Consider the following 12,093-nt stretch of genomic DNA (forward strand, 5'->3'; position numbering starts at 1 on the left):
CACTCCAGCCTGGCGACAGAGTGAAACTCCACCCCCCGCCCCCAAAAAAAGTCAATTGGCACAGAGACAGGAAGCAATGCTCAAATGTCTCCCTGATCTGGAAGTGGGTCAAGCTTTTATGGCATTCCTATCTAGTCCTAGGTGATGCCAATGCAGTCGGCCTGCCAGGCTCGTGGTGGTAACAATTAAAACGTTAAAGCTTTTTTCCACTGTGCACGCTCAGGCAATTTTGGCTGTCTCACCTGTAACAACTTAAGCAATGGTTAATCAGTTTGAGCTGGTCCCACAGTTACAACAGGATACTCCTCAGAAAATGGTGACCACTTTGGAAGGAACGATGCTTACTGTGACATATAACTTTGGAATGTCTATTTTAACTTATTGCCAAGCCACGAGAACAAAGTAACGGCCTTGAGAGTTATTTGAAAGGTTTTCAAAAAAATTTATTTTCATAAATTAACACACATAACAGTGGAAATCTTAGAGTCACAAACTACCAAACAGAAAAGGAACTGCAGGGGCATCATGTATACCAATGTTACCAAAAATGTACAAATTTCATTGAACTACTGACCATGATAATATATAAACATGTCAGGCAGCTATTTTTACTGGCCCAGACCAGCCCAAGGAGATGCTGAGGCCTCTCACCAAGAATTCAAATCCAATTCAGCACCAGAGAGGGGCTTGTGAAGACACACAATCAACAAACATGGAATCTGAGAGCACACTGCACTAGATGGCCAGCTCAACGGGGACCCCCTTTCATCATCAAAATAGCTTTTGCTGCTTGATTTGTGGCTAGACGGTAACATTAAACTGTAATTTTAGTAAAATTAAATCTCCCTAGCCAGGTTTTTATACAGTAAGTTCAGTTGTGGCAAGGAGCCCTTTTCTGACACGAATCCAGGAAAGGATACTCTGCACTTCTGGCCAATTATTTAAACTTTGGATACAGCCACCCACAATGTGGTTATTTAAGAAGTCCTTTCCATGACACCAGGGGAAAAGCTTACAGAAACAAAACAGAACAAGGGAATTACAGAAAGCACCAACTGCATACTCCCCCCACCCCAGGGAATGGGAGAAAAGTATCACTGCCTAAAAGTTGGTCTTTCGCAGATCTTAATGTACATGGCATTGATTATGAGACGGAATTCCAGCCTGGAGACGGAGCGACGGCCGTGCATTCATTGGCTGCACCGCGGCCTTGGATCTGCTGCTCCCGTCCTGTACGCTCCCTGCTGCTCTTGGCTCAGTGGGCAAGGAAGGAGCCACGGGGGAGGTCTCACGCCCAGATAGTGGGATCTGGAATGGACCTCAGGTTGGCTCTGGAGCCCGTGCCAAAGACCCTTTCAGGCAAAATTGTGACAAAGTATCATGATTTTCACAGCTCTTGAGGAGCGCTGAGTTTTGGGATTCACAGCATGGGTTTCTGGGCTCCTCAGGCTCCGAATAAGGCAAACGCTACATGTCTTCACCGTACCTCCCTCAGCTACTGTAGCTTAGAGTAAGGTCAGTAAGAAAAAGTGGACATGATCTGCTTTAACAGGAGATGAGGTACAGCTGAACTCATGGAGACATGAAGCTGGAAAGGAGACCAAAAGCAAAAAAAGAGGAGGGAACGCGGAGGGAGAAGGCAAACACAGCTAGAAACTGAAAGATGGAAAAAAAAACAAAAAACAAAACACAGTTGAAAGTTTCAGTGAAAAGCTGATGGGCAGAACCCTGATTAGACCTGAGATTTCTCCTCTTTCCCATATTAAAAACACTAAACCTCTGGAAGTGATAGTTGAGTAAGCTGTAGTTAACTGTAACTTCCCACCACTTGGGGAGGGAAGTTCCCATACTCAGAAACTGTACCAACTCCACCCCAGAACCAGACCTCCTGTAGCTCTGGGCAGGTGGTGTGCCAGCAGCCGATTACCATGTCCCATCGTGGTTAGGGACCACGGGCCTGGGGACCCCTGACAACACTGCAGCTGGCTCAGTGCCGAAACTGAATGTTAAGACAGGTGTGGCTGAGCGCAGCTGGAGCCTAGGTATATACATCACCTTCAGGTAAGTAATTTCAAGTTTGCAGTGGGGCCCCCTTCTCAACTTTGGAGCAGGGGAAGGGACCTAGCTAGAGGGTAGGTCCAGAATTTCAACGACGGGCAGGGCTGGCCTCACAACAACTCCTCTCCTACATTGTCAGGACAGGGAAGGAGCCCAGCTCTGTTTCTTCCAGTCCTCTGCTCCCAGTTACCCATGTTCCAAACCGCTGCTTCTGGTCCTTCGAGTGCCACACCTGTAACAGGCACAGTTGAAACTATCTCTGCCATGTTGGTGACACTATAGCTGTGCCCACTGTTGTCTCTGGGAAACATAGCCGCCACATCACTGCATCTATACTGGCAACAGAGCTGGCAAACAGGGCTCTGTTGACTCACTGCTAGTCTGCAACCTGTCCAGTAGGAGCTCCTTAAACATGCCTGGACAAGGGCAAAATGTACTACTCATCCCACTCCCTTAAGCAAAAAAGTCAGAGAGAAGCATTTAGTGTCTAAGAACCCTGTCCCAGGAAGGGAGAGGTATTGAGGTGAAACATAGGTCGTGTCTATACAGTCTGGGCAAAGTGGATGTAGAATGACAGAATCTGGTTAGCATCATTCAGAGCTGGTACGGAAGCCTGGCTCTCTTCTAACTGTATTTGGCCATGGCCTTGGAAGCCTCCGTGGATGACCAAGTGTGTATTTCACTCGTCTCAATGCTATGTCTGAGGCAGTGGGCCTAGAACATAGCCGTGGCACACTTTTCCCTCTGGCTCATGTCAGTTTTTCTGCTCCAGTGTGGCATAGACTGTCAACCTGCAAAAGCAAGGCACATAGAGACCCCCCACCCCCAACCCATCTCCCCATCCACTAGCAAATGGGGAAGCAAAAGAAACCTAGGAGAGTTGGCCAACATTCCAGGACGTGCCACTCACTCTTCTCTAATAGACTGACTTGGAAATGTCCCTAGAACTCTGACGGTTCCCATCGGCGGCTGCTCCATGCCAGTGGCTCCCAGGAGGATATGAAGAGGTGATGCTGGTGTCCTGACGATGACTTTTGCATCCCACTCACTAGCCATGGAATGTTAATTCTCTAAACTCTTGTTTTGAGAGAGAAAGAGAAACCCCTAGAGAAGGAGGGGAAGGGGAGCAGGATATGGACACACAGGACTTCAGTGGAAAAGGAACAAGACCTCGAGGCTGCTGACCCACAGCATCCCTCTGCCCACAGACTCCTGCAGGCACAAACCCAGAAACTCGGCTAACTCCAGCATTTGACAGTTCCGGTAGATGTGACGTAGGAGCCCAGAGTACAATGAGGTGGCCCTCAAAGAAGGCTGGCTGGGGATTTTTGAGATCCCACTGCAGGAACACATCTCTGGGTCTGAAACATGACCCCGACTCTCTCCCCACACTTGAAGCGGGCTGCCTGGAAAGCCACAAATACTGTGGGTCAGCCTGTATCACTGCCCAAGCCGTTGTACTCAATTTTGTTACCTAACACCATTTCAGATAAAAACCATTAAGACCACACCCAACCATAGTAGTTTTTCAATGATCGGGAGAGAAACCTGCTCTTACTTAAATCACTAAAATAAATACATGTATTTGGTGGGCAAGAATGAGAACCCAGATGAAAAAAAGTGCTCCCTCTAATGAGTTACACTAGAAGCTGGAGATGGGGAAGGGATTGCCTGAAACACATGAATAGGAAAAATGTCTCTTCCATGCAGCGATCAACTGGGTCAAATGCCTATCATGTATTCTTAAGACATGTATTGTTTTTCTCCTTAAAAAAATGTTTTAAAATCACATTTAAAGGCTCCACACATGCAGCAATAATAGTACAAAAACAACAACAAAAAAGAAAATAAAACAAATGAAAATAATCCACACCACAACATTAAAAAGTGCAACTTACTTCGAATGGGGCCTGGACGGGCTCCTCTGGCACTAGTGACCCAGTCACAGAGGGGAGAAAACGATGGGAAAAAGCCACACACACACAAACACTCTCACATACACTCACATCAATAGGTCCTGGGCAGACAAAAGATAAGAAAACACAACAGCTCATCTTTCCTCAACTACTGAAATGAGCCAGTGAGACCACACAGGACAGGACGCCAGGTCCCCCTCCCTAGGCCACGTTTCTAATAATCTTGGTCTAGCACCACCGTAAACAAAGCGGAACTTTCATATGGACGTGCAAATCCTGTGTGTCCTTGGAATCCTAGTGTTACTGAAGATAGGCTGCTGCTTCCTCCTGTGGATGGCAGAGACTGAGGAGGTGGCTGGATGTCGTTCAGGTCCATTTCCAGGAGAAAGGGAGCATTCCTGAGGTTCTATACTCAGCAGTAAAAGTAGAGGACCCTCCTTCACCAGTTTCTAAAAAGGTTGCACCTTGAAATAGGTAAAAATTCATGGACTGTGCATTTTTGAGTGGTTTGGCGGTAGGGCAAAATTAGGCAACCTTTTCCAAGGAGGTCCAAAAAAAAAAAAAAAACCCAAAAACAAAACAAAACAAAAAAACCCTAAAATTGAGACCCTCAAACTGAATCGCTTCTCAACAGCCTGATGATTGTTCCTGCTCCTCTTCCTTGGCAAAGAAGGTCTCCAGTTCCATTAGTTTCTGTATCAAAAGAGCATCCAGCTCTCGACTCTGCACAGCTGCCTTCTGGGCCCTGGTAAAGCTGCCTGCCACCTTGACTTTGCCTCGAGCTCTCCTCTTTCGCGGGACTGTAAAATCCTGAAATTCTAGAACTCGCTTCCTCTTCTGTTGGCTGATTGAGATTAGTGTACCATTTCGTTCCTTGGGTTCCTCAAAGATGGTCTCTAAACACCTAAGGATGAAGCACGAAACAATCACCAACAGACTGACTCACATGGCCCATCCTGTCAACAGGGTCAGGATGTTGACGCTGGGTCAACAACCCTTCTAGTCAACAGGGACTGAAAGCTACTTGCGCCAACTCTTTTTCTTTTTTTTGTGAGACAGAATTTCACTCTTGTTGCCCAGGCTGGAGCGCAATGGCATGATCTTGGCTCACTGCAACCTCTGTCTCCTGGGTTCAAGCGATTCTCCTGCCTCAGCCTCCCAAGTAGTGGGGACTACAGGTATGTGTCACTATGCCAGGTTAATTTTTTTTTTTTTTTAAGATGGAGTCTTACTCTGTCACCCAGGCTGGAGTGCAGTGGTGTGATCTCCGCTCACTGCAAGCTCCGCCTCCCAGGTTGACGCCATTCTCCTGCCTCAGCCTCCCAAGTAGCTGGGACTACAGGTGCCCACCACCACGCCCGGCTAATTTTTTTTTTTTTTTTGTATTTTTAGTAGAGACAGGGTTTCACTCTGTTAGCCAGGATGGTCTTGATCTCCTAACCTCATGATTCGCCCGCCTCGGCTTCCCAGTGCTGGGATTACAGGTGTGAGCCACTGCACCCAGCCCTGACTCATCTTTAAAAAAAAAACTTTTTTTTTGAGACAGGGTCTCACTCTGTTACTCAGGCTGGAGTGCAGTGGCACAATCACAATCACAGCTCACTACAGCCTCGACATCCTGGGCTCAAGCTATCCTCCTACCTGAGCCTCCCACGTAGCTGGGACTACAAGCATGTACCACCATGTCTGGCTAATTTAAAAAGAATTTTTTTTTTGTAGAGATGGAGTCTTGGTATATTGCTCAGGCTGGTCTCCAACTCAAGGGCTCCAGTGATCCTCCCTCCTTGGCCTCCCAAAGTGGTGCGATTACAGGCATGTGCCACTGTGCCTGGCTCTGATTCGTTTTTTTTAAATGGTTACACAGTATATTCCATTATAAGGAATTAATTATAAGTAATTGTACAAATGTGTTAGAGCAGACATACAAAATCTTAGGATAAAATCCTACAATTCTCCTTCTATATTCTAGAAACAGTGGGCATTTAATAAATGTTCACTGACTTGAATTGAATTCAGACCTAAGTGAAACTCTTCCTGTATTTCGGTTTACAATCATATCTGAAAAATCAATGATTATCAGTCCTGAAGTCAGCATATTTGGTAAAAATACAAACACAAACTACTTGTTTATACTTCTTTTTTCTTTTTCATTTTTGAGATGGAGTTTCGCTCTTGTTGCCCAGGCTGGAGTGCAATGGCGCGATCTCGGCTCACTGCAACCTCCACCCCCCGGGTTCAAGCGGTTCTCCTGCCTCAGCCTCCCGAGTAGCTGGGATTACTGGTGTGTGCCACCACGCCTGGGTAATTTTGTATTTTAGTAGAGACAGGGTTTCACTGTGTTTGCCAGGCTGGTCTTGAACTCCTGACCTCAGGTGATTTGCCCGCCTTGGCCTCCCAAAGTGCTTGAATTACAGGTGTCAGCCACTGCACCTGGCTGAGACTACATTTTCTTTCTTCTTTTTTTTTTTTTCTGAGACAGAGTCTAGCTCTGTTGCCCAGGCTGGAGTGCAGTGGTGTGATCTTAGCTCACTGCCATCTCCTCCTCCCGGGTTCAAGCAATTCTCCTGCCTCAGCCTCCCAAATAGCTGGGATTACAGGTGTGAGCCACCATGCCCGGCTAATTTTTTGTATTTTTAGTAGAGACAGGGTTCACCATGTTGGTCAGGCTGGTCTCGAACTCCTGACCTCGTGATCCACCCGCCTTGGCCCCCCAAAGTGCTGGGATTACAGGCGTGAGCCACCGTGCCTGGCTACATTTTCTTTACGTAACCCAATACACTTTATTTCCTATCCTATTACTGACCCTAATTCAAGTGCTGCAATTGAAAATACCAATTCTAGCTATTTATAAAACCCAATATTGGCCGGGCGCGGTGGCTCACACTTGTAATCCCAGCACTTTGGGAGGCCAAGGCAGGCGGATCACGAGGTCAGGAGATCGAGACCACGGTGAAACCCTGTCTCTACTAAAAATACAAAAAATTAGCCGGGTGTGGTGGCGGGCGCCTGTAGTCCCAGCTACTCGGAGAGGCTGAGGCAGGAGAATGGCGTGAACCCAGGAGGCGGAGCTTGCAGTGAGCCGAGATTGCGCCATTGCACTCCAGCCTGGGCGACAGAGACTCTGTCTCAAAAAAAAAAAAAAAAAGACCCAATATTGGTACAACTGAACATAAACTCTTTCTAAAGTGAAAGGGCTGGAGATTCACATCAATCATTTCAAATTCTTCCCTTTTATTTCCCAGCTATAAGTACCTACCTGTTTGCAGGAGGAGATTTATAATTCTTGTTGGTATATATCTCTTCTAAACTAAACTCCTTCTTCTTTAACCTGAAAAGAAATAAGGAAAAAAATTCTTCAGGTTCTCTCTCTCTTTTTTTTTTCAGAGAAGGTCTTGCTCTGTTGCCCAGGCTGAAGGGCAGTGACATGATCATAGCTCACTGCAGCCTTAAACTCTAGCCATCCTCCAGCCTCAGCCTCCTGAGTAGCTGGGATTACAGGTGTGTGCCACCATGCCAGGCTAGATTAAAAAAAAAAAAATTAGGCATGAGCTACTGTGCACAGCCTCATGTTCTCCTAAGATGGAAGAGACTTATTTCCCAATGCTATCCTTTTCGTTTGCTCCAACCTGTCTGTAATATGTTTTAGATGTGTCTCATGCAAACAATATGTACTGGATTTTCTTTTCCAGGGTACCAACCTTCAACTTTATGTAACTGAGCCCATTCATACTTACTGGGAATGATATATTTAGATTTATATATATTATTTTTCATAGATTTATATCTACTTTACAGCTGTTGTTTGTGCTGCTTTGCAATGTTTCTTTTTGTGAACTGACTGTTCTTTTTTTTCTATCTCCCTCCACTGACTAGAAAACTATATATTCTGTTCTTTTTTGTTTTTTTCTTTTTTAGAGATGGGGTCTTGCTCTGTTGCCTAGGAGTCTGACACTGGGTACAGCCTGGGTGACAAAGACCCTGTCTCTTAAAAAATATATACATACACACACACACACACACACACACAAAAACCCTTCACACCTATCAATTATACAGTAACCCTGAGGTACAGCTTGAATAGTAAAAGCAGGCCATATGCTTGCTTTTTTCCTTTTATTACCAATTTCCAAAACAATGAATTGGTTCCCCAGTATCTTCCAAAGATGGCCAATGGTTTTAAATTTTTTAAAGTATCATTATTAACTATTGGGTTTATATTTGATATGTTTTAATCTATTGAACTTATTATTCTTTTGAGTCTCATCTGTGGCCAGAGGTAATCTCTTCAAACTGGTTCTTGAGAGCCAGGCATGGGGGCTCCCAACAGTAGTCCCAGTTACTTGGGAGACTGAGGCAAGAGAATTGTTGAGCCCAAGAGTTCGAGACCAGCCTGGGCAACAAAGCAAGACGCTGTCTCTATACAAAATTAAAAAATAAAGAAAAAACTGGCCCTGAATCCCTTTGACATGACCCTAGGAGTCTCTGAGAGCTTTGCTACCTTCTGGTATGACAAGATACATTCATCTTATTCATTTCCTGCCCTAGACCTGTAATCACTCTCCAAGGAGCCCAGGTTCACCTATCATAAAATTCATCCATTTAAAATGTACAATTCAGTGATTTTTAAAACATTCGCAAGGTTATTCCTGATCACCACTATCTAATCAAGACCAGTTTTTTTTTGAGACAGGGTCTTGTGCTGTCACCCAGGCTGGACTGCAGTGGCTCAAACATGGCTCACTGCAGCCTCAACTTCCTGGGCTGGGCTCAAGAGATCCTCCTGTCTCTGCCTCCCGTGTAGCTGGGACCACAGGTGTGTGCCACCACAGCCGGCTTATTTTTTTATTTTATTTATTTATTTTTTGAGACAGAGTTTCGCTCTTTTTGCCCAGACTGGAGTGCAATGGCGCGATCTCAGCTCACTGCAATCTCCACCACCCGGGTTCAAGCGATTCTCCTGCCCAGCCTCCTCAGTAGCTGGAATTACAGGCATCCGCCACCACACCTGGCTAATTTTTGATTTTTTTTTTTCTTTTGAGATGGAGTCTTGCTCTGTTGCCAGGCTGGAGTGCAGTTGTGCAATCTCGGCTCACTGCAACCTCTACCTCCCGGGTTCAAGCGATTCTCCTGCCTCAGCCTCCCGAGTAGCTGGGACTACGGGTGCGTGTCACCACACCCAGCTAATTTTTGTATTTTTAGTAGAGATAGGGTATCACCACATTGGCCAGACTGGTCTCGAACTCCTGACCTCAGGTGATTCACCCACCTCGGCCTCCCAAAGTTCTGAGATTACAGGCATGAGCCACCATGCCCAGCTGTAACTTTCTGTAGTAGAGATGGGGTTTTATCACGTTGGCCAAGATGGTCTCGAACTCCTGACCTCAGGTGATCCACCCACCTCGGCCTCTGAAAGTGCTGGGATTACAGGCGTGAGCCACCATGCCCAGCTGTAACTTTGATTTTTTCGTACAGGTGGGGTTTCACCATGTTGGCCAGGCTGGTCTTGAACTCCTGATCTCAGGTGATCCACCCATCTCGGCCTCCCAAAGTGCTGGAATTACAAGCGTGAGCCACTGTGACTGGCCTATTTTTTCATTTTTTTAAAGACAGCATCTCGCTCTCTTGCCCAGGTTAAAGTGCAGTGGTACAATGATAGCTGACTGCAGCCTCGACCTTCCTGGCTGAAGCAATCCTCCTCTCTCAGCTTCCCAAGTAGCTGGGACCTATAGTCCCTGGCTAATTTTTTTTTTTTTTTTCTTTGAGACGGAGTCTTGCTCTGTCGCCCAGGCTGGAGTGCAGTGGCGTGATCTTGGCTCACTACAACATCTGCCTTCTGGGTTCAAGTGATTCTTCTGCCTCAGCCTCCTGAGTAGCTGGGACTACAGGCATGCACCACCATGCCCAGATAATTTTTGTATTTTTAGTAGAGACAGGGTTTCATTATATTGGTCAGGCTGGTCTCAAACTCCTGATCTTGTGATCTGCCCACCTTGGCCTCCCAAAGTGCTGGGATTACAGCTGTGAGCCACCATGCCCGGCCTCCAGCTAATTTTTTTTTCTTTTCTATTTCTTTTTTTTTTTTGAGACCAAGTCTCACTCTGTCACCCAGGCTGGAGTGCAGTGGTGTGATCTAGGCTCACTGCAACATCCGCATTCCGGGTTCAAGCGATTCTCCTCCCTCAGCCTCCCGAGTAGCTGGGATTACAGGCGCCTACCACCACGCGCGGCTAATTTTTAAAATATTTTTAGTAGAGACAGGGTTTCACCATGTTGGCCAGACTGGTCTTGAACTCCTGACCTCAGGTAATCTGCCCACCTCGGCCTCCCATAGTGCTGGGATCACAGGCATGTCGGGCTAATTTTTAAAAACTATTTTTGGTAGAGATAGGGTCTATGTTGTACAGGCTAGCTTTGAACTCCTCAGCTCAAGCGATCCTCCAGTCTCAGCCTCCCAAAGTGCTGGGATTACAGGGTTGAGCCACGATGCCTGACCTGATCTTTTGTAGAGATGTGGTCTCACTATGTTGCCCAGGCTGGTATCAGACTCCTGGGCTCAAGTGATCCTCCTGCCTCTACCTGCCAACGAGCTGGGATTATAGGAATGAACCACCACAACCAGCCTTAAAACACTTTCATAACTCCAAACAGAAACCTACTTTTAGCAGTCACCTGGACTCTCCCCTGCCACCCAGCACTGGTAACCACTAAACTACTTTCTGTCTCTAAGGATTCTAGACTTTTCATATAAAATGAATCATATAGAATGTGCTGTTTTCATAGTTAACTCCTGTTGTAGCATGTATCAGTACTTCGTTCCTTTTCCTGGCTGAATAATACGCCATCTATGGATATACCATCTTTTCTTTATCCATTTATCAACTGAGGAACATTTGGTTTCCACTTTTTAGCTATGAATAATGCTGCTGTGAATATTCATGCACAGGTTTTTTGGTGAATGTATGTTTTCAATTCCTTTTTTTTTTTTTGAGACAGAGTCTTGCTCTATCACCCAGGCTGGAGTGCAGTGGCATGATCTTAGCTCACTGCAACCTCCACCTCCTGCGTTAAGGCAATTCTCCTGCCTCAGCCTCCCGATTAGTTGGGATTACAGGCACGCACCACCACTCCTGGCTAATTTTTGTATTTTTAGTGGAGATGGGGTTTCACCATATTGGCCAGGCTGGTCTCGAACTCCTGACCTCAGATGGTCTGCCCACCTCGGCCTCCCAAAGTGCTGGGATTACAGGCGTGAGCCACCGTGCCTGGCATGTTTTCAATTCTTTTGGGTATATACCTAGAAGAATTGTTGGGTCATATGGTAACTAATTTTTTCAGGAACTGCCAATTTTTTTTTTTACAGTGGCTATACCATTTTACATTCCCAAGAGATGTGTATAAGGGTTTGAGTTTCTCCACACCCTTACTACACTTATTTTCTGTTTTATTGTTTCTTTACATCCTAGTGGGTGGGAAGTGGTATTTCACTGTGGTTTTGATTTGCAGTTCCCTGATGACTCATGATGTCAACAGCATCTCTTCAAATGCTTGTGGGCCATTTGTCTATCTTCTTTGGAGAAATGTCTATTGAAACACTTTGTCCATTTAAAAAATATGGGTTATTGTCTTTTGGTTGTTGAACTATAAGAGTTCTTTATAGCTTGTGGATACCAGACCCTTATTAGATGTGTGATTTGCAAATATTTTCTCCAATTCTGTGGGTTATACATTATCTTGTTTTTTGTGGGAGAGAGTTGGGCAGGGGGAGACAGTCTCACTCTCTTGCCCAAACTGGAGATCAGTGGTTTGATGACAGTTCACTGCAGCCTTGAAATCCTAGACTCAGTGATCCTTCCACCTCAGTGTCCTAAATAGTTGAGACTACAGGAGTGTGCCACCATGCCTGGTTCATTTTATTTTTATTTTTGTAGAGACAGGGTCTCATGCTGCCCGGGCTGGCCTTGAACTCCTGGGCTCAAGCATTCCTCCCACCTTGGCCTCCCAAAGTGCTTGGATTACAGGCGTGAGCCACCATGCCTGGTCATCTTTTCTTTTTTTTATACTTTATTTTTTATAGTAGTTTTATGTTCACAGAAAGACTGAGCAGAAAGTAGAGAGTTCC

The 12,093-nt window shown here is 45.8% G+C and overlaps 1 protein-coding gene across 1 annotated transcript in view; it reads right to left on the minus strand.

Moving 5' to 3' along the window:
- Window positions 1-421: 421 nt before the first annotated feature.
- Window positions 422-12,093, minus strand: part of PRR14L (proline rich 14 like) — a 68,786-nt gene continuing 57,114 nt past the window's right edge. The window contains exons 8-9 of the mRNA NM_173566.3: window positions 7,231-7,302; window positions 422-4,878 (exon numbers count right to left, since the gene is read on the minus strand). Coding sequence (NP_775837.2) covers window positions 4,602-4,878; window positions 7,231-7,302 — 349 coding nt within the window. The 3' untranslated portion in view covers window positions 422-4,601. The remainder of the gene's footprint in view (window positions 4,879-7,230; window positions 7,303-12,093) is intronic.

Source organism: Homo sapiens, chromosome 22 (genome assembly GCF_000001405.40).
Source record: "Homo sapiens chromosome 22, GRCh38.p14 Primary Assembly".
NCBI lineage: Eukaryota > Metazoa > Chordata > Mammalia > Primates > Hominidae > Homo > Homo sapiens.